Raw genomic sequence first — 23,507 nt, 5'->3', positions numbered from 1 at the left:
ATCACTTCATACCTATTTGGTGGGTTATTATAAAAAAAAAATGGAAAACGGTAACTGTTGGCATGGTTGTAGAGAAATTGGAGCTCTTGTGCATTGCTGGTGGGAACATGAAATGGTACAGCTGCAGTGGAAAAATGTATAACAATTCCTCAAAACATTAAAAGTAGAATTACCATGTCATCTGGCAATTCCACTTGTGCATATATACACAAAAGAAAATAGGGACTTGAACAATATAGCAGTGTTCAGAGCAGCATCATTCACAGTAGCCAAAGGTAGAAGCAACCCAAGTATTCATCGGTGGATGAATGGATAAACAAAATGGTACATAGATATGAAGGAATATTATTCAGCCTTAAAAAGGAGGGAAATTCTCAATCACACATGGTGAATGAACCTTTACAATATTATGCTAAGTGCAATAAGCCAATTACAAAAGGACAAATATTATATGATCTACTTACATGAGGTACATACAGTAGTCAAGTGGCTACAGCTAGAAAGTGAAGTGATGGTTGCCAGGGGCAGCGGAGAGGAGAGAATGGAGAGTTAATTATTTAATGGGTACGTAGTTTCTGTCTTGGATGATCAAAAAAATTATGGATGGATTGTGTGGGTAGTTACATGATAATGTGAATGTACTTGATGATGCTAAACTGTACACTTACAAATTGTTAAAATGGGTATGTAGGTTGATTCTGTTTCTTTGCCGTTGTGAATAGAGCTATGATGAATGTATGAGTGCCTGTGTCTTTTTGACAGAATGATTTATTTTCCTTTAGGTATATGCCCAATAATGGGATTGCTGGGTCAAATACTATTTTTAGTTCTTTGAGAAATCTCTACACTGCTTTCCACAGTGGCTGAACTAGCCCATCAAAGGTGGAGTGGATAAAGAAAATGTAGTACATATACACCATGGAATACTATGCAGCCATAATAAAGAACAAAATGATGTCTCTTGCAGCAGCATGGATGCAGCTGGAGACCATTATCCTAAGCAAACCAACACAGAATCAGAAAACCACATGTTCTTGCTTTTAAGTGAGAGCTAAACCTTGGGTACACATGGACATAAAGATGGGAACAGTAGACAGTGGAGGCTATGATAAAAAGAAGGGAAGTGGGGCAAGGGTTGAAAAACTAACTGTTGGGTACTAGGCTTAACTACCTGGGTGTTGGGACCATTTGTATCCCAAACCTTAGTATCATACAACATACCCGTGTAACAAACCTGCATCTTTACTCTCTGAATCTAAAATAAAAGTTGAAATTTTTAAAAAACCCAAAGTGAAGTAAACAATAAAAATAAAAAAGTGGTTCAAACAAATTTTATGGATGTTTTACTATAAATAAAAAAGTTTAAACAATGTTTATCAGAATTATAATTCAATTTAGTTGAACACAAACTTAGATTTTTCAAAATCTTCAGCATTACAGAGGTATGATGTTAGCTTTTTTGATTAGTAAACCAATGAGCAGTTTTGGAAGTTCAGTTGAACTATTCTCTTTAGAAACCAACCCCTATATGACATCCTTCATTTTGTTACGCTTCGTTGCACTTCTCAGATACACCGTTTTTTACAAATTGAAGGTTTGTGGCAATCCTATGTTGAACAAGTCTTTTGGTGTCATTTTTCCAGCACCATTTTTTGGCACTGAAATATTTTTAAATCAACGTATATATATTGCATTTGGATGTGCTGTTGCACACTTAATAGACTACAGCATAGTGTAAACAATAGGAAAACCAAAACAGTTATGTGATTTGCCTTATTGTGATGTTCACTTTATTGCAGTGGTCTGGAACAAAACCCATAGTACCTGCAAGATGTCTATATTATTACTATTATCTTTTTGAGACAGATTCTGGCTCTTTCACCCAGGCTGGAGTGCCGTAGCATGATCTCGGCTCACTGCAGCCTCCTCCTCCTGGGTTCAAGCGATTCTCCTGCCTCAGCCTCCTGAGTAGCTGGTATTACAGGTGCCCACCACCACACCCAGCTAATTTTTGTATTTTTAGTAGAGACGGGATTTCTTCTTTTTGGCCAGGCTGGTCTCCAACTCCTGCCCTCAAGTGATCTGCTCACCTTGGCCTCCCAAAGTGCTGGGATTACAGGTGTAAGCCACTGCGCCCGGCCAGGTATGCCTGTATTATTTTTAAAAATCCACTCATGTATTATACTTAATACTAATAATTCTGAGAAAAGCGATAACTTTTTTCCCCTCAGACCAAACATTTTAAACTAGCCTTATTTATCCAAAGATTTACCTTGGTTATATATACCTGGATTCTTTTTTTTTTTTTTTTTGAGATATAGTTTTGCTCATGTTGCCCAGGTTGGAGTGCAATGGTGTGATCTCAGCTCACTGCAGTCTCCGCCTCCTGGGTTCAAGTGATTCTCCTGCCTCAGCCTCCCGAGTAGCTGGTATTACAGGTGCCCACCACCACACCTGGCTAATTTTTGTATTTTTAGTAGAGACCAGGGTTTCACCATGTTGGCCAGGCTGGTCTTGAACTCCTGACCTTAGGTGATCCTCCTACCTCAGCCTCTCAAAGTGCTGGGATTACAGGTGTGAGCCACCACACCTGGCCTATACTTGGATTCTTAAAAATGTTTCTGAGCTAGCAGTTTCTGTTAAGAGTTTCTTTAGTTTCTGTGAATTTGGAGAATATTTTAATTTATATACCTGCTTTCTTATCTCTGTAAATCAATTTTACAGAGCTCTTCTGTTTAAGAGCTGTAACATGTAATTTATTAATACCCTCTGGAGGTAGGAAAATATTTCACATACAATGAGAAATAACGGCTTTTTCGAATTATAGATGCAGAAACATGTAGAAGGCTTTTCGCTTCAGTTCTACAACTTTAGCTATAGATCACAAGTAAACACAGAAACTCATCGTTTCAGATCTCACAGGAGCTGTTTTCCTTAATTGATTAACTCACAAATATACAATTAGACAAACAAAAGGACTAACAAACCAGATTCTCTGTCATCTGTCATCCAACAGAGAATAGGTTTCTGTCATCCATCCAACAGAGACCATAAATGAAATCTACCTATTACTGTTGCAATCTTGCCAGTGCACCATGTTTCAGTCTTGTCATCTGAGGTAGTACATGGAATTATTTGTCTCATGACCAAGAAAATTAAGGAGTGTGGACACAGAGTGAGATTGGAGCAAAAGTTTAATAAGTGAAAGAAAAAAGCTGTCCACAGCAGAGAGGGGGCCTGGGAGAGGGTTGCCATTTTTACAGTTGAATACAAAAGCTTTTATAAGAATGCCCCCTCATCTCTGTAGCTGTTTGTGTAACTTCCCTTACGTGTGAAGCTGTCTGTGTAACTCCCCTTATCTGTGCAGCTGCGGGCATGTCTTTAGGCAAGCACAAAGTACAGCTTCTCTTGGTTGTGCAACTGTGGGTTTGTTTTGGGTAAGGTCCACCCTTCCCTGTGCAAGTTCCCGTGGAACCCACCGTGTACATGCCTGAAAAGGGGAGGAAACTTTTTCCTGGGAGCCCATGGGTTACACCAAGAACAAAGGCTTCTGTATTGGGCCTTGCTTTCTTACCTGTGCAGCTGCAGCCCGAGTTTTCGCCAGGCTGCTCTATTTGTGCCTGCAGCTTGATTTTTTAGGGTGTTTCTGTGTTTGAAGGAGTTTTACCAAAGACCCATCCTAACTGTCTGCCTGACCGTTTTTTTTCCTTTCTCATTACTACCATCCCTGGGGATAATATATGGGTCACGAGTGAATCAGAAACACAAAGGCACAAACTTAGTGGAGAAGCAGAAAAATACATAGAGAAACAGTGAGCAAAGTTAGAGCTTTATGGCTGCATGAGCATCTCTTTGGGAGCCAAGAAAAGTTGTGTTAGGCTTAACAGACTGTGAGGTGTGTTTCTCATTTACTTAGCTCCATCTAGTCTACTTGAGCTTCTCAGTGGATGACCTCCAGAACTGCTGACTATAATTTTTAAAAAGATAAAATTGTGACCTTCATGCAAATAGAGGACAAACACATGCCAAATATTGACTCAGTTAGTGCAAAACCAGTAAGGCATTAAAACTGGTACAAAGAACATTTAAGAATATGTGCAGATATTAAGATATATGCATGTGAATGAGATGAGATTGCTAGATTAGATAAAAACAACTGGTTATTGTCTTATATGGTGGTAAACCATGTAAGGGATTATTTGTTCCCCACCCCCAACAGAAATCTACAAGTTAACCTCTGCACCTGCAGAGTTGTAAAATAACCCAGTCAATAGAAAATCAAGCCTAGAGCTTCACTGAAAGAATACCCAGTGCTGTAGTCTGAATGTTGGTAGTCCCCCAAAATTTATATGTTAGAACCTAATACTCAGTGTCATAGTATTCTAAGAGGTGAGGCCTTTTGGAAAGTGATTATGTTATACATGCTCTGCCCTGAATAATGGGATTACGTGCCATTATAAAAGTGGTTGAAGGGAGCTACCTTCCCCTACCATCATGTGAGGAGACAGAAGCCACCATTTATGAGTAACAAACCCTCACCAGACACCAAATCTGTTGGTGCCTTGAATTTGTACTTCTCAGCCTCGAGAACTGTGCATAGTAAGTTTCTATTCTTTATAAAATGCCCAGTCTAAGGTATATTGTTATAGCAGCCTGGATAGACTAAGACACCCAATAATTACTCTTTTCAGATAATCTTTCTACCACCTATTTTTTTTTAACAATGATTTAAGTTGAGGATTCCTTATCTGTTCTATTTAATAATTACACATTAAGTATGCCATATCTGAAATGCCTGGAAGCAAAGTATTTCGGATTTTGGATTTTTTTCAGATTTTGAAATATTTTCATTATACTTACTGGTTGAGCATCCCAAGCCTGAAAATCTAAAATCTGAAATGCTCCAATATGCATTTCCTTTGAACATTATTTCTCAGTGCTCAAAAAGTTTCTGATTATGGAGCATTTTTGGGATGCCTGACCTGAACTAGTAATTCTTCAATTTAGTTTTTTTTTTTTTTTTTTTTGAGACAGAGTCTAACTTTGTTCCCCAGGCTGGATCAGTGGCATGATCTCTGCTCACTGCAAGCTCCACCTTCTGGGTTCACGCCATTCTCCTGCCTCAGCCTCCCGAGTAGGTGGGACTACAGGCGCCCGCCACCATGCCCGGCTAATTTTTTGTATTTTTAGTAGAGACGGGGTTTCACCGTGTTAGCCAGGATGGTCTCGACCTCCTGACCTCGTGATCGGCCCACCTCGGCCTCCCAAAGTGCTGGGCCACCGCACCCAGCCTCTTCAATTTAGTTTTTTAAAACTCTTTAGATTATAACATTAATGCATGTTTATTGAAAAATACAGAAAATAGAGGAAAAGAATTTAAAAATTACTCATAATCGCTCCATTGATAATACTAAATTTATTTTCCCCTGTCTTTAGTGTCTAATTGTCAGCCAGAAAATTAGGAATCTGTTGCACTTGATTTTTAAGTAACTTATCTAAAACTATGTGCCATTTTAACAGTGAGCATTACTAGTTGCATTTTCCAAATTTATTACTTTTTCATTTCTTAACTGTAGACTATTATTTCAAAATTTTAAATTTAGTTTTTGATGTTTTAGAGAAATGAAGCCACAGTGGCTTAGCACATCTTTGTGTTTCTATTATTTATTTATTTTTTTGAGACAGAGTCTTGCTGTGTTGCTCAGGCTGGAGTGCAGTGGTGCGATCTCAGCTCACTGCAACCTCTGCCTCCCGGGTTCAAGTGATTTTCCTGCCTCAGCCTCCCAAGTAGCTGGGATTACAGACACCTGCCACCATGTCCGGCTAATTTTTGTATTTTTAGTAGAGAAGGGGTTTCGCCATGTTGGCCAGGCTGGTCTCAAACTCCTGACCTCAAGTGAGCTGCCTGCCTCTGCCTCCCAAAGTGTGTGTTTCTATTTTTCAAACTTCGGTGAAGTGTTTCATGAAACTGTTAAAAAAAAATAAAAAAGCAAAACAGTTGCAGGAGTGAGTTATTTTAACACAATGCAGACTTTGTATCAGGTGCCTAAAAGGATTACCTTTGGGTGCCTCCATTAACTGTTATTTACTAAAAATTCGGGACATTAATTGTCTCATCATAGATTTTTGTATTGTACAGGTACAATGTGGGAGAGGTATTTTCAGCTGCTTTGGAAGAGAAGAGAACTCAGGTTCTGCTCTCTTAAAGCCCCTGAAGACTTTCAGTCTTCCTATCTTTGAACTTCGTAGTAAATCCCCTCAAATACTGGCCTGATGCCTGGCATATGACTCTCCAGTCTCCTGTTCTTTTGAGCCTTCACTGTGTTCTGGGCATAGCTAAGGTACATAGAAGCAGGTGGGTAAAGAGACAGGTCTACTTTATCACAGTAAATATGCACCCATTTTGGGAGCAGTTTGGCTGGAAGCCAGAACTAGCCTATTAATATTGATGACATTTCTACACAGTGCCTTTGGTATTATACCACATAGGTCATTAATCACAGAAGTCATTCCTTTCCTCCCCAACATTTAAGGTGGTTTTTCTTCTGTATAGGTAGAGGTGAAATTTATTATTATTTTTTCTTGTTATCAGCTAAATCCTTGAAATTGAGGAATTAGTTAATTAATTCTTTCAGATATCCAAAATATGCAAAACTGCAGACTGGTAAAGATAAATTACTAAATTTTGCTAGTCACATGACAGATTTATGTATGAGGAAATGAAAGATAACTGCTGTTTAAGTAACTTTGCTGTTAAGTTAGCTACTCATGTAATTTTGTAGACTCCATCTCAAAAAACAAAACAAAACAAAAACAAAAACTGACCTAGACTTTTTATAGTCTGCAAAGTGCTTTTATTTGTATATTGTTGTTTCTCACAACTAATGACAGTTGAGACTGACCGGTAGTATGATTCTTGTTTGAAAAATGCAGACATTGAAACTTTTATTTTTTATGTTTTTATTTTTTGAAACAGGGTCTTGCTCTGTTGCCCAAGCTGGAGTGCAGTGGCACGATCTCGCTTCACCGCAACCTCTGCCTCCCAGGCTCAAGTGATCCTCCCACCTCAGCATCCAGAGTAGCTGGGAGTACAGGCATGTGCCACCACACCTGGCTACTATTTTGTATTTTTAGTAGAGACAGGGTTTTGTCATGTTGCCAGGCTGGTCTCAAACTCCTGGACTCAAGCGATCTGCCCGCCGCAGCCTCCAAAGTGCAGAGATTACAGCTGTGAGCCACCACACCCTGCCTGGACACTGAAATTCTTTTTTTTTTTTTTTTTTTTTTTTTTTTTTTTTGAGATGGAGTCTCGCTTTGTGGCCCAGGCTGGAGTGCAGTGGTGCGACCTTGGCTCACTGCAAGCTCCACGTCCCAGGTTCACGCCATTCTCCTGCCTCAGCCTCCCAAGTAACTGGGACTCCAGCCTCCCGCCACCATGCCTGGCTAATTTTTTGTATTTTTAGTAGAAACGGGGTTTCACTGTGTTAGCCAGGATGGTGTCGATCTCCTGACCTCGTGATCCACCCACCTTGGCCTCCCAAAGTGCTGGGATTACAGGCGTGAGCCACTGCACCCGGCCTGAAACTCTTGAAAGAGGTTAAATTACTGTCTTACTTAGTTCAAATAGCCAGAAAAGTGTACAGTGGAGTTAGGGCTCAAATCCACATCTTTTGACTTTGAATCCTATAACCTGCTCAGTTTCTATTTGCCGCTTACAGTTGGCAGGCTCCTCTTCTACCTGTACTTCCAAAATAAATGGATATCAGTGATTCTCAAGAGTGTGGTCTGGTAATGCCAGGGGTCCCTGAGGCCCTTTCAGAGGGTCCTCAAGTTCAAAATTATTTCATGATACCAAGACATGATTACCTTTTTGACTAAGGTTTAAGGAAATACAATTCCACATATTGAAGTAGAATTCTCAAGGCAGTAAATAGAGAATGGTAAGTGAGTTAAGGAGGCTTCTCTAGGAATGGATGACTGAGCCTCCTGGAAAGCTAAGTTAAGGGACTGTTGTAAGACATAGCTCTTTTGGACCTAGTTGGGGTGGGGTGGTAGAGGAGAGTATAGAGAGTTGGAGGATACCCCTCCAGTGGGCTAAATAATTTGTATGTATGTATTGTTTAGTGTTGATTCTTTTTAAAAAACAGGTTCATTCTTGGTGTTTTCGAGCTTCTCTGTGTTAGGACATATAACGAAATGCTTATGTTGTTAATTGCTGCATGGAATACTCAATGCAACTGTGTGGATAGGTTGAGGTAATTAACCACTTCATTATTTGATAGTGAGTTAGTTTCTAGTTTTTCTCTATAACAACAATACTACGTGACCACTCTTATAGATAAATCTTTGTATTGATTCTTCAGTAAGGGCAAACCACTCTTATAGATAAATCTTTGTATTGATTCTTCAGTAAAGGCAAACTCCTAGCTGCAGGATGACCAGATGTGTTCATAAACAAACATCAGACATGTTTGTTAAATCAGTTTATGGTATTGGAGGGCAGGCACTGAATTTTTTTTTTTTTCCTGAATTTCTTAGCTAGGCGTGAGTGATCTGGGGGTTCTGGCTGCTCCAGCTGCAAGGAACACAAAGAGAATCAATATCTCAGGCTCACCTCCAACTCATTCTCCACAGCTGCCACGTACCTGTTGAAAAAAATTGTACTGATTGACTTACTAGCCAAATTGAGAAGAGCAGATCATTATTAACCAAGAGTGCTGAGTCGACCAGTTATCTTTTAGGAAAATGGCCTCTGACCTGCTTTTCTTGGATCATCTGTGAAGTGATGGGAGGCAGAGTAGATAGGTATATAGCTTATTGTTTCCTAAGTAATTATGAGGCAGCCCATATCTTACAGGAAGTGCTCTGCATTTGGGGAAGACCCCAGCTTCCACAGGAATTGAGAGATGGGAGTAATGTCTATGGTAGGACAAACTGGTTATGACTGGACTCAGAGGAGAACAAACCTATGAAGTAACTGAAGCAGGTTTTCAGATGGGAGGTCCAGGGATGAGAAACATGATGAAAATCAGAAACTGAGAAGGTAATTGTAGTTTGAACAAGTATTTCAAGCTGGTACAACAAGTAAGACTGATTTATATTTAGGGTTAACAGAATGCATTGTTTATTTAATAATGTGCTTATTGAGATTATACTTATATTCTTTTTTTTTTTTTTGAGATGGAGTTTTGATCCTGTCACCCAGGCTGGAGTGCAATGGGGTGATCGTGGCTCACTGTAATCTCCACCTCCTGGGATCAAGCAATTCTCGTGCCTCAGCCTCCTGAGTAGCTGGGATTACAGGTGTGTGCCACCATGCCTGGCTAATTTTTGTATTTTTAGTAGAGATGGAGTTTCACCACGTTGGCCAGGCTGGTCTTCAACTCCTGACCTCAGGTGATCTGCCCGCTTCGGCCTCCCAAAGTGCTGGGATTACAGGCATGAGCATACTTACGTTCTTAATAAATACTTTTTTTTTTAGAGGGAGTCTTGCTCTGTCACCCAGGCTGGAGTGCAGTGGCGTGATCCTGGTTCACTGCGACCACCGTCTCCTGGGTTTAAGCAGTTCTTCTACCTCAGCCTCCCAAGTAGCTGGGATTACAGGCGCCCATCACCATGCCCAGCTAATTTTTTCATTTTTAGTAGAGACAGGGTTTCACCAAGTTGGCCAGGCTGGTCTCGAACTCCTGACCTCAGGTGATCCGCCCGCCTTGGACTCCCAAAGTGCTGGGATTACAGGCATGAGCCACCGCACCTGGCCCTTTTTTTTTTTTTTTGAGTTTCACTCTTGTTGCCCAGGCTGGAGTGCAATGGTGTGATCTTGGCCCACTGCAGCCTCTGCATTCCGGGTTCAAGCGATTTTCCTGCATCAGCCTCCTGAATAGCTGGGATTACAGGCCCCCACCACCACACCTGGCTATTTTTTTGTATTTTTAGTAGAGACGGGGTTTTGCCATGTTGGCTAGGCTGGTCTCGAACTCCTTGCCTCAAATGATCGGCCTGCCTCTGCCTCCCAAAGTACTGGGATTACACGCATGAGCCACCACACCCAGCCGATAAATAAGTTTTTTAATGAATGAATGAATGAATGAATGAATGAATGAACGCACATTAGATTTAATGAGTCCTAGAATGATGTACTACATTGAAGTTATGGAAGAATTTAGACTTATTTCAGAGCTGCCTAATTAGCTTTTGACTTGTAGGTTTTCTGACATTTGACAGGCTTTCCACCTTAAATATCACAAACTGACAGCTTTTCTCAGTTTCCATGTCACCGCAGTGGCTGCTTTCATTCACGATTATTATTATTATTTTTTAGATGGAGTCTTGCTCTGTCGCCCAGGCCAGGGTTCAGTGATGTGATCTCAGCTCACTGCAACCTCCGCCTCCCAGGTTCAAGCGATTCTTTTGCCTCAGCCTCCCGAGTAGCTGGGATTACAGGCACGTGCCACCACACCTGGCTAATTTTTTGTAGTTTTAGTAGAGACGGGGTTTCACCGTGTTAGCCAGGATGGTCTCGATCTCCTGAGCTCATGATCTGCCCGCCTCGTCCTCCCAAAGTGCTGGGATTACAGGTGTGAGCCACCACGCCTGGCCTGTTCACGATTTTTTTTTTTTTTTTTTTTTTTTGAGACAGAGTCTCGCTCTGTCCCCAGGCTGGAGTGCAGTGGCGTGATCTCAGCTTACTGCAACCTCTGACTCCCTGGTTCAAGCAACTGTCCTCCCTCAGCCTCCTGAGTAGCTGGGATTACAGGCACATGCCACCACGCTAGGCTAATTTTTGTATTTTTAGTACAGACAGGGTTTCACTGTGTTGACCAGGATGATCTTGATCTCCTGAGCTCGTGATCTGCCCACCTTGGCCTCCAAAGTGCTGCAATTACAGGCATGAGCTACCGCGCCTGGCCTTTCACTATTATTATTATTATTACTATTTTTGAGACAGAGTCTCGCTCTGTTACCCAGGCTGGAGTGCAGTGGCGCGATCTCAGCTCACTGCAACCTCCGCCTCCCGGGTTCAAGCGATTCTCCTGCATCAGCCTCCTGAGTAACTGGGATTACAGGTACCCACCACCATGCCCAGCTAATTTTTTATATTTTTAGTAGCGACAGGGTTTCACTATGTTGGCCAGGCTGGTCTTGAACTCCTGACCTTGTGATCCACCCACCTCGGCCTCTCAAAGTGCTGGGATTACATGCGTGAGACACCGTGCCCAGCCGCATGATTATTTTTAAAGACAGGTAGTCTCATTCCTATCAGCCTTGAGGCTTACATTTTTAAAAGATGGTTTTCATAAAATTCACTAATATGTAGAAACTTGTTTATTTCTTGTTACATAGTTGAGCCTTCTGATTTCTGAGGTAGGTGGTTAGGCTTCCAGTTCAATAGCATGTTAGACAGAATATTGGTGTCCATTCACTGTTGTAGTTATAAGAGGTTAACATTTCTTCCAGTTTTCTTTTGGTTAGTGCTTCTTTTTGCTCACCTGCTTTACTCTTTGTATTGTATCTGTTTCTATGGAAATAAAGACTTTTTTTAAAGAGCCATGCTGTATATGACAGTGAATACTAAAACTGGTTTTTGACATAACTTATCATTCATGGAAATACTTTAAAGATGTATTTATTGCCCAGATAACATTTTATTTATTTATTTATTTATTTATTTATTTATTTATTTATTTAGGCAGGCTAGTCAAATGAAGCAGCGGGAATGGAGAAGGAACAAAGAAATCTGTACTGGTTGTTATCAGTTAGTCGTAAACACCACTGCCCTCAGACCAGCCCCAAACAGCATTTTAACACCACCAATGGAAGTTTGAGAAATTGCTGATACTGCTAGCACCTTAGTAAATCCTCTCTTGTGGTGGTTGTTAACCTTGATAATCTCCACAATTAATCCATTTTCCTCCTTTCATACAATACTCTTTGGAAGGGAGTTGTGTGCAGCCTGCACTTAAGTAGTAGGGAGTTATGCTCCCCTACCTTTAGGGCAGAATAGCTACATAAACTGTCTGGAATTCTTCTGCATGGGAGATTTGTGTCTTCTGCCTCATTTATTAATTTATTCAATCATATATATCAGTGTGGACTAATGAATATTTATCTCATACTTGGGATTATAAAGTCAGTACTGTTTTATTTTGTTGCTCAGATTGTTCTGGCTTTGTGCATTGGTTGCTCTTTCAATAGACTTCTGTGCTCCATTGGTATACCCCCTCAATGTTGGGTATTTTGGTTTTGGGTTTTTTTTTTTTTTTGAATAGTGCTACTTTACTTTCTGGTACTTCAGGCTGATCTTGTATATTTCCTGCCTGAGTTCTGGAATCAGCTATTTCTCCTTGGGGGCCCTGGTTTCTTTTATTGCAGAATAGTGTTAGACACCAAGATCTGGGTGCTAGGAATGCTCATTGCTCCTGGGGTGGTGTTTCTTCTAGACCCTCTCAGCTGACAGAACAAAGAAATATGTGTGTATGCTAATGCATATATATGCACATATCTATAATCTATGCACATTTATAAATATTTCTTTGTGTAACTGTGCATCTATACTAAGCTAAACATGAGTTCTTATTAGTGTTTCCAACTCTAATCCATTAGCACATGAATCTTTCTACCTTTTTTCCCTTGCTTATCTGTAAATTCCCACTGTAACTGTAAGAAACCTGATTCTTACTGTCTGCCATCCATTTACTGAATTGGTCACCTCCAGTATTCGTGTGTAGAAGTATCAGAATTGTTAACCAGTAACTCTGTGGGAAACAACTTTATCAAGTAGGATACGGTGCTTAGGTGCAGAGTTCCTGTTACCTTCATTCTTAGAAACCGCTTTCATTTCCAGAGTTGCTTAGGTCAGCAGCTTTCCCCTCCCTCAGCAGTTTCAGTAAGGTAGTTTCATACATTTGTAATATAGTTAGATTCACTTGTCACAGCTTGTGTTTCTTCCTGGGATGCTGCAAACTCCTAAATGATTTTTTAAAAATTTGTATGCATTACAGTTCATTCTTTTGTGTTGTAATGTTCTGTGGGTTTTTACTGATCTGTTATTGCTGCAATATCATATAGAATAGTTTCACCACCTAAAAGTCCCTGTGCTTCATCTATTCATCATTCCCCTAATAGCCCACAAACTCCTGCCAACACTAATCTTTTTACTGTCACTGTAGTTTTGCCTTTTACAGAGTCTTCAGGCATACCTTGGAGATAGTGTAGATTTGGTTCCAGACCATTGCAATAAAGTAAATATCATGATAAAGTCACTTGCACAAAATTTTTGGTTTCCCAGAGCATATAAAGGTTGTGTTTACACTGTAGTCTCTTAAGTGTGCAGTAACATTATATCTGAAAAAACAACTTACATACCTTAAATAAAAAATGCTTTATTGCTAAAAAATGCTAATGACGTGAGCACATGCTTAGAAAAATTGCCCCAATAGACTTTCTAGTGGGGTTGCCACAAACCTTCTTTTTTTTTTTTTAAACTCATTATCTGTGAAGCAAAATAAAACAAAGTGCAATTAAATGAGACATGCCTATAATTGGAATCGTGCAGGATATAGCCTTTTCAGATCGGCATCTTTCACTTAGCAATATGTAAAGTTTCTCGTGTGTGTGTCTTGATAGTTATTCTATTTATTGCTGAGTAATCTTTCATTGTATGGATGTACCATAGTTTATCCATTTGCCTATTGAAGGACATCTTGGTTGCTTCCAGTTTTGTGTGGTTATCAATAAAACTGTTATAAACATTCACTTATAGGGTTTTAGGTTTTTGTGTGACATAAGTTTTCAAATCAATTGGATGAATCCCTAGGAATGTGATTGCTCTTTTTTATGTTGAGATCTTTAATTTTATGAGCAGCTCCTAAATCATCTATACCATTTTACATTCCCACCATCTGAATGAGAGTTCCTATTACTCTGCATCCTTACCAGCATTTGGTATTTATTCAGTTTTTGGATTTCAGCCATTCTAGTAGTTTTGTGGTATTATCTCATTGTTTTAATTTGCAGTTCCCTAATGGTAAGTGATATTGAGCATCTTTTCATATGTTTGTTTGCCATTTGTACATCTTGGGGTGAGGTGTCTGTTCACATCATTTGCCCCTTCTCCCTTATTTTTAAAAATAAAGACAGGGTCTTGCATAGGCTGAAGTGCAGTGGCACGATCTTAGCTCACTGCAGCCTTGAACTCCTGGGCTCAGAGGATCCTCCCACGTCGGCCTCCCAAAGCACTGGGGTTAGAGGCATAAGCCATGACACCCAATATTTTGCCTACTTTTTAATTGGGTAGTTTGTGTTCTTGTTGTTGAATTTTGAAAGTCTTTGTATATTTTGGATACCAATTCTTTATCAGATATGTCTTTTACAAGATTTTCTCCCAGTCTGTGACTTGAGTTTTTATTTTAACAATGTTTTTCACAGAGCAGAAGTTTTTAGTTTTAATAAAGTACAACTTAGCAGTTTTTTTGTTTCATGAATTGTGCTTTTGGTGTTTTATCTAAAAACTCATTGACAAACCTAAGTTCACCTAGATTTTCTTTTATATTATCATCTGGAAGTTTTCTAATTTCTCATTTTATATTTAGGTTTATGATCCATTTTGAGTTAATTTTTGTGAAAGGTGTGAGGTGTGTGTCTGGATTCCTTTTTTTTTTTGCGTATGGATATCTGGTTGTTACAGCACCATTTATTGTAAAGAGTATTCTTTCTCTATTGCATTGCCTTTGCTGCTTTGTCAAAGGTCATTTGACTATATTTGTGTGTGTCTGTTTTATCTCATTGACCTTGACCTATGTCTGTTCTTTCACCAATATCACTCCATCTTGATTATTACAGGTTTATAGCAAGTGTTGACATTGGGAGTGTCAACAGTTTTTTCCAACTTTTTTCTTCCACAGTATTGGGTTCGCTAGTCTGAGACTTTTGTCTCTACATAAACTTTAGAATCAGTTTTTTGATAGCTGCAAAATAGCTTGCTGAGATTTTGATTGTGATTACATTAAATGTATATATCAACTTAGGAAAAACTGAGATCATGACAATATTGTCTTCTAATCCATGCACACATAATATTTTTCTGGTTTTTTAGATCTTTGATTCCTTTTGTCGGAGTTTTGTAGTTTTCTGTGTATATTTTGTTTGATTTATAACTAAACATTTCATTTTTTGTTGTATTGCAAATGGTATTCCAAATTCCAGTCATTGTTGGTATATAGAAAAGCACCTGACTTTTGTATATTACCCTTGTATTCTGGGACCTTGCTGTAATTGCTTATTTCAATTTTTTGTTGTTACTGATTTTTGTTTGTTTGTTTTAACCTACCTCAGTCATGTTATCTATAAAGAAAGACAGGCTTTTCCTCCTTTCCAGTCTATACACCTTTTATTTCCTTTTCTTATTGCACAAGCTAAGCTTTCTAATATGATGTTGACTAGGAGTGATGAGAGAGGATATCCTTACCTTGTTCTTTCTTACTAGTGAGTATGCTGTGAGCTGTGGGTTTTTGCATATATATTATTTAGCTAATTGAGAAAACTTTCCTCTGTTCCCAGTTTGTTAAGAGTGATTAGTCATGAATAGGTGTTGGGTCTTGCCAGTAATGTTTCCTGCATCAATTGATATGATCATATGATACTTCTTCTTTTGACCTATTGATGTGGTGAATTACATTGATTGTTCATTAATTGCCTTTTAAAAAGCTGCTTTTCTAATGTGAAGTCAGCCTTGCACACCTGGAATAAATTTCTCTTTTGTTCATGGTATAATTCTTTTTATATATTGTTGGATTTGATTTGCTAATATTTTGTTGAGGATTTTTGCATCTGTGTTCATGGGAGATTGATTTGTAGATTTATTTTCTTGATTTTTTTGCTTGGTTTTGGTGTTATTCAACCTGTTCTCATTTTTTTTTATTCTCTTCTAGCTTTTATTCATATAATTCTCTGATTTTAGCTGTGTGAAAATGATGTACAAGTAGTATTATATTTGTTCACTTGAATTAGTAATCTCTAACATTCACTCAGTCTCCAGGAAAGGCTGTTTTATGCTCCTTGATACTGTTCTTTATATGGTTTTCATTTAAGATCAGTTATATTTAAAATGTTGAATTTTAAAATGAGAAATGTCATTTAACTAGCTATATTTACAGGAAGATGGTTATATTCTGAAATCTCTAGATTTTTCCTGTGAAGTTATAGTTAAATTAAGATAATAATGAAGAATAACTTTGTTTTCCTTTGACTAATAAGGAGAAGTATCATAGTCCTTTGTACTTACACAAGAACTCTCACCTAGAAGATACAATGGGATTGTGTACCTTCTCAGAGCTGAGGCACTCACAGAACAGGCTTAACTGGCAGTATCTCACCTCACCCTTTTCTTTTATGTTCCTCATATTTTTCTCATGCATTTCTTTCCTAACCTTTGTGTGAAATAGAAGAACATAGTTTTTATTTTTTTATTTTATTTATTTTATTTCAGTAGGTTTCTGGGGAACAGGTGGTGTTTGGGTAAGTCCTTTAGTGGTGATTTCTGAGATTTTGGTGCAGCCGTCACCCAAGCAGTGTACACTGTACCCAATGTGTAGTCTTTTATCCCTTACCCACTCTTGCCCTTCCGTCTAAGTCCCCAAAGTCCATTGTGTCATTCTTATGTTTTTGTGTCCTCATAGCTTAGCTCCCTCTTATAAGTGAGAAGATACAGTGTTTGGTGTTCCATTCCTGGGTGACTTCACTTAGAATAATGGTCCTCAACTCTATCCAGGTTGCTGCGAATGCCATTATTTTGTTCCTTTTTATGCCTGAGTAGTATAGAAATGGAAGGACATAGTTTAATAGTGATTTTCTTATCCTGTAAAATGCTGTATTTCCTACTGTCAAGTATTAAAACAAGTAAATTGAAGAAAACATAAATTGATTTCTCTTTTTGAATTTTGTATTTAGTCAGTATTTCTATGATGAAAAAGTTTTGCAGCTTAATATAGGGTGTGACTAGGGATGATGATGGAAACAAAGAGGAAAGTTAAGGACTTATTAACCTGAGGAAAATGAAAGTATATATTAATTATAAGATTATTTTAATATTAAAAAAATGGCTGTTTGTGCCTCTGCTTTTTCTTAGGCAGAGACTCCCCCTAATGGGCCAGATTGTGGCTATGGCTCCTTTCACCAGCAGTACTGGCTTGACGGAAAGATCATTGCTGTGGGGGTGATTGACATCCTCCCAAACTGTGTATCATCTGTGTATTTGTACTACGATCCTGATTATTCGTTTTTGTCTTTGGGCGTCTACTCTGCACTACGGTAAGATTGCTTTTTGCCGTTATTGTAGTGGGTTATATAGAACTTCAAATAATTACTCATTTGATTATATTTAATTATGTAACAGTAGAAGTCCTAATTGACAGTGTATTATAATGATTTGTTGCTAGTCTCTTACATAGAATACATACTACTATATAATAGGTAATAGGTATTCTATATGAGTTAAATACTCCTATATAATATATACTTATATATAATTTGTAATTTTCATTTAAGAATATATTTAAAGTCACATTGAATTTTAAAATAAACATCATTTAACTAGTTTATAGGAAATATACATATTATATAAGTATATAGTTATGTAATATATAAGTAAATATTATGTATAACTAGTATCTATAATCTATAATCTCTAGTACTTTTATATTGTATTTATAAGGTACTATCTTTAGAACTGATGCCAGTGTCTGATGGTAATTCTCTAGCTTTTTAAGGTATCCATCTAGTTAAGAAGTCATTGTATTTGTGGGTAGCTTTTGTTGTTTATACATTTATTTAAGGCCCCCTTCAGAACTACTTATATTCCTTAAACGTTATATGACTTATATTCTTGTCATCATTATCTTCTACTTTCTTTTTTCCTTTTCAAATGAGATGGGGTCTTGCTGTGTTGCCCAGGTTGGTCTCGAACTCCTGGGCTCAAGTGATCCTCCTTCCTCAGCCTTTCAGGTACCTGTAATTACAGGCTTGTACTACTGCATTCAGCTTTATATTTTTTACTATTAATTAAACGTTAAGTTAATGCGGTGTAAATGAATCAAAGTAATATGAGGCTACTGGAAGAAATATACATGTATACAGAACAGACCTGGGGAATTCCTGGCCGACTGGTTGAATTTATGACCCTCATCAAAAGATAATTTCCCTTTTGTGTCCATGGCTGCAAACATATGTATGCAGCACAAAACATTTTTAATGGTGAGAAGATTGGAGTCTTCCTCCAGTTTTCTCTATTTATTTCTGTTTGTCTATGTGTATATGTGGTGGAGGAGGGGAAGGAGGGTTGGGAACTATTTTTCTTTTGTTTATCTGGGAGCTTGAGTCTCTCTTTTTCTCACTGTTTACTATTGTGTCATACTTTTCTCTTTTCATCTCTCAGTCTTCATGTCTGATGGTCACGTTTTCACGTCACAGTAAAATGTACTGCCAGATTATTTTTGTGTATGTGCTTTTTTATGAATTATAAAAGAGTTGAAATTTTTCATTAAATCAGCAATTTAATGTTTTTAACAATCTGGTCCATAAGTGATTTTTTTGTGTGTGTTTCAGTGGCCCACAATATAAAGTTCTTTGTCTTAGCATTTTCAACTTGACTTTTTTCTTAATGCCAATTTTTAACAAATCCACAATTAGGTAATATTTACAATAGATCTCCATAACAGTCTTTTTATTCTTATGTATTTAATCACATTTTTGTATAAAGTAGTTTAAAAATATTTATGGCTGTTGGTGCTCTCACTGAAATTGAAATTGATAATTTAAAGTATTCATGTTTTATAACTTTAGATTTTGCCATTATTACATAACTTCAGAAGTTTTATTTCAGAAAAGATATATTTTCTTTGTACCTAAATCAGTCAATACTTTCAAATAATTGCTGGTTTTTTGTTTTGTTTGGTTTTATTTTTGTATTATCACTTCACAATGTGTTATAGATTTTTCTAGGCTTCTCAGATGGATTTTTAAGGGTGAAATTTATTTCTACATAATAAGCTCTGGCCTGTGTCTGAAATATTTCATGGCTCAATAAACTGAGTGATAGTTTAGATATTGATATGGTAAATAATTAATTCCCAGCAAAATTAGCAAGAGTTCTATTGATCACCTTGTATATCCCTGCAAATACTAGAGCTGGAGAGCCGGGAGGGAGCAGGAGAGGAGCCTGAGGTCATGAAAGGTTTGCCAGTTGAGGGTGGGATGGTTGCGGCTGCTCTGCGGTCTTGTCACTTCCTTTTGGTGCTCTTGAGAAGATGAGTTGCGGAGTTTATAGAAAAGGAAAGGCAGCCAGGGGATTGACCTCTTGAAGCAAAATTGGAGAAAGTAGGTTACCAGTTGCTAATTCTGTTATTGATTTTAATGTATTTTGGTGAAATATTTTACCCTCAATTTCTTAAGTTTCTTAAGCAATCCAACAATCAATATAGTTTTATGTTTTTAGATTTATATAATGTAGCCTGTAGATTTTTATTTTTTTATTTTTTTAATTCATTTTTGTAATCAGCCTCTGCTTATCCATAGCCTGTAGATATAAGAATTGTTTGAATTGGGGATCATGAGCATGGCATTTGTTTGCATATTTTTAGAAAGATACATTTTAAAAAGGTAATTACACTCATAGACATGAATAAGACAGGTTTCTGGTTTGTCCAAGCAGACCATAAATAATAAAACAGACAACTTAATTTCAGATACTCCCTAGCACTGTGACACAAATAAAATTAGAGGTGGTGGGCATGAAGCCTGTTTTATATAGATTGGTCTTTCCTCGTAGAGAACAGGTGACATTTCAGGGGCAAAGGAAGAAGAAAAGGAATCAGTCATGTAAAAATCTGAGGGTAGGAAGAAGTTCAAGTGAAGGTTAGCAAATCTAAGTGCCTCGAGGTGGCCAGGAAAAACAAAAATGCCTTTTGGGCTCGGGTGTAGGGAAGGACGTAGAGAGCCTTATGCAAGGGGCACAGAGGCAGGTGGAGTTGGTGAGAAGGAGGCAGGTGGAGTGAGCTGGTGAGAAGGAGGCAGGTGGAGTTGGTGAGAAGGACGCAGGTGGAATAGCACTTGTAGGAGGGTGGGGAGGTTGGGTTTTATTTATATGTGGTGCCAACCCACTGCTGGGGTGGGGGATTGGGAGATCTGATTAATATTGTAAAAGATTACTTGGCCTGTTCTGTGGAGATTATGGAGGGGTAAGAGTGGAAACAGGAGGCTGCTGGGAAGCTGCTGCAGTCATCCAAGGGCACCATAATGCTGCTTGACCCAGAATATCTGAGGTGGAGGTGGTAAGAAGTGGTCAGATTCAAGACATATTTTAGAGAGAAAGCCCAAAAGACCTGCTGATGGATTGGACATTGGGATGAGAAGAAAAGAATTAAGGGTGACTCCAAGGTTTGGGGCCAGAACAAATCCGGAGAGAGGTGATGAAATGAACTGACGTGGGCAGGACCAAGTGGATTGGTACCCTGGCTGGGTGGGCCTTCTCGGAATTGGTGGTCTTACGCTTGCTTGTGTCAGTGCATTCTTTCCTCAGTTTGAACTTTGAGAGTGGATTAATTCTGGAAATAGGATTTATTCTGTTATAGGCTAATATTGTTTAGTCTGGTTGGATTTAGAAATAATTTTAATTTAAAAATGAATTCTTACGGTAATAATTCTTTAAGGATTTAAATTTGAAGTAGAAAAATGCACAGAATATTGCATTACAAATACATTTCTTTAGAATTTCAAGCATCAATTGCTACTAATAAAGAAAAGAATACCTTCAAGAAACAAACATAAAAACAAAACTACTTTCCTCATACTTTAGAAATATACTGAAGTTTTACTAAGCACTTTCAAACTAGTCATTTAGCTGGGCAAGTAGAATGAAATTCTGTGCCAAGATTTATCAGGATGCAAATGAAAAAAAATTCATGCATAGGCGTTATAGTGGAGAGACTGACAACTTCTTACGTTTGAGTTACCTGGCTTATTCCAACAAATACAGAAAATGTGGTGAGATAACATGGTATTTCCTGCTGTCTAGTTTTAGGGGAAATAAATATTAAAGTTGTGCCTAGATAAAGGAATGAATTAGATGTCATATGCAGCTGAAAGTCTTTGCATGTAAATGGTCATAATAATAGTTATTCGTCCTGTAATTTATTGGCTTTTGAGTTTTCTAAAATGTGCTGTACTGTTTTTAACCTGTTAAGCCCAGATTCTTTGAGAACCATAGGGCATGATGAATAATAACAGGACACTGTAGATCTCTTTAATTTTATGCTGCTTGAAGTTTAGATCAGCTACTTTGTCCAATAAAGTGTAAAACCTGAACTTAGATGCATTTGCTTAAAATTATGTAGAGGGTTTTATTATTTCTTTAGTAAAAATTGTATAGTGTTTTAAAAGTAGTTTTTCTTTCAATATTTGTAATTTTTTGATAGCTTAATACCAGATTTTATCAAATGTTTACCATCAAATTACACAGATATTTGTACATTAGAACCAGAATTAACTGCCTTCAGCTTTCTTCTTTTTCTTTTCGCAGAGAAATTGCTTTTACTAGGCAGCTTCATGAGAAAACTTCTCAACTCAGCTATTATTATATGGGTTTCTACATTCATTCATGTCCCAAGATGAAATATAAGGTAAAGTTGATTTTCACATATGTGTATTTTTATTATAGAAAAATGAATCTCTCATAAAATTTTTATCTCAGGGCACTGGGTTTGAAGCTTTGAAGGAAGGACGAATGGGTTAATAGGAAATCTCTTTGCTGCCTCAGAAATTAAGCTCTCTGTAATGAGAACCACAGCCTCTTCTGCTCTTGTAATCCATTGCATTATTGTGAGATTTAAGTATATTTCAGAATTTCCCTTTAAAAAAAAGTTTTATGACTCTCGTTAATGAAACTCTTTGATGTTTCCTGAGTATGCGTAGCCCACTATAAAAACTGCAGAGTGAAGACCAATGCAGAGGAGCAGACCCACCGCCTTCCACCCACCGCGATAGCAATAACAAACACGTCTGCTTTACTTAGAGTGAGGCTTTCAGCTCTGAAGTTGCATGGATCTTCTACTTAAAACTTGTGAGCTAGGGGAAGATTAGGGGCATTTTACATCAAACCAGGGTATACAGTGGTCTGGTCAGTGGCCTAGGAGGACATGGGTTTTTTACTATAGAAGATGTGGAAGAGGAAAGGAAGGAGTAGCTCAAGAAGAAAGTAGGTAGGATGGAGAAGGACGTTTCTAGGAGAAGAAGCAGTAAAAGAAAGGATTTGGAAGGGCAAGTGCTGATGATGTATTTGTAGAGGAAAGGGTAACTGAAGGACTGTGCAGGACCCTGAAGGCCAGGCTAAGGTACCTAAATTAGGCACCTGGGAGTCATCAACAGTTGTAGAGCAGAGCAGAGTAAATCAGAAAATATACATATGTCCACACATAGAAATATGACTTAACGGGGGTTTTCAGACATGCCACATTAAAGAAAAAAGTGTAATTGAACCCCTGTGTACCCATTACCCAGCTTTAGTAATTTTCATGCATTTATTTCATCTATTCCTTCATTGCCACCTCCACCCTCTCTTGAATTATTTTGGAGCAAATCAAAAGTATCACTTAATCTGCCAATATTGTAGTGTGTATTTCTAAAAGATAAGGGCATTTTGAAAATGTAATCACAATTTCATCATATACCTAGAAAGTATTAGCAGCGTTTCCAAATATCATCTGATCAGTGTTCCTATTTCCTGTTTCCTTTATTGTCTCATAATCTTTTTTACAGTCAATTTGTTTGACTTAGGACTCAGTAAGGTTCATACATTATATTTGCGATGTGTCTCTTAAATCTCTTTAAATCAATAAATCCCCACCCCCCTCCCCCAGCCTTTTTTCTTTCTTACAAAGGAATAATTCACAGGACTTGGTGATTAATTACATTTGGGGATGATTATATTTCCAAATCTTTGATGTTAAGCACTGAATGACTGGGGAGATGGTTCGATTTCAGAAATTATGGATTCTGAAAGTAACACTGGCTTTGAGAGACCAGTGAAAAAGCAGTGCCTTGCTGGTTTTACATTGACAGTCCAGGTAAGCTGATCAAGGTGTCCTGGCATTTGGAGATTTTCTTTTGAGCTCATATTTCAGTGTACATTGTAGGGAGATAACCCCTGAATTTGGTTATCTTCAAAAACTTCCTTTATGCCTGAATTACTAATTCACTTGATGGGCCTTAACATATGTTCTGTACAGAAGGAAAAGTATGAGCATATTTCCGTTTTGCCTAAAAATAATGATTTGCTTACGTTTTTACTAGTGTTTTATCCTTCTGGCTCATTTTCATCTGGTACTAGATCTAAATTAGTTCAGAGCAGAAAACTCTAGTACTCAAGATACTTTAATGTATTTATAAGACTCAAAGAAAACTCTGGCTGTCCTTATATTAATCTTCCTTTATGTAGTACACGACCCATTCAAATGAAG

The 23,507-nt window shown here is 37.9% G+C and overlaps 1 protein-coding gene across 35 annotated transcripts in view; it reads left to right on the top strand.

The window, feature by feature from the left end:
• Positions 1-23,507, top strand: part of ATE1 (arginyltransferase 1) — a 188,040-nt gene that overhangs the window by 70,075 nt on the left and 94,458 nt on the right. For all 35 annotated transcript variants that reach the window (NR_110006.2, NM_001439381.1, NM_001439374.1 and 32 more), the window contains 2 exons: positions 17,126-17,307; positions 21,572-21,671. Coding sequence is in view for 34 of the 35 variants with exons in the window: in NM_001439381.1 (NP_001426310.1) it covers positions 17,126-17,307; positions 21,572-21,671 (282 nt within the window). In the remaining variant the exon portion in view is untranslated. The remainder of the gene's footprint in view (positions 1-17,125; positions 17,308-21,571; positions 21,672-23,507) is intronic.

The sequence above is a fragment of the Homo sapiens genome, chromosome 10, assembly GCF_000001405.40.
Source record: "Homo sapiens chromosome 10, GRCh38.p14 Primary Assembly".
Classification (NCBI taxonomy): domain Eukaryota; kingdom Metazoa; phylum Chordata; class Mammalia; order Primates; family Hominidae; genus Homo; species Homo sapiens.
This window is presented reverse-complemented; position numbering and strand designations above follow the sequence as displayed.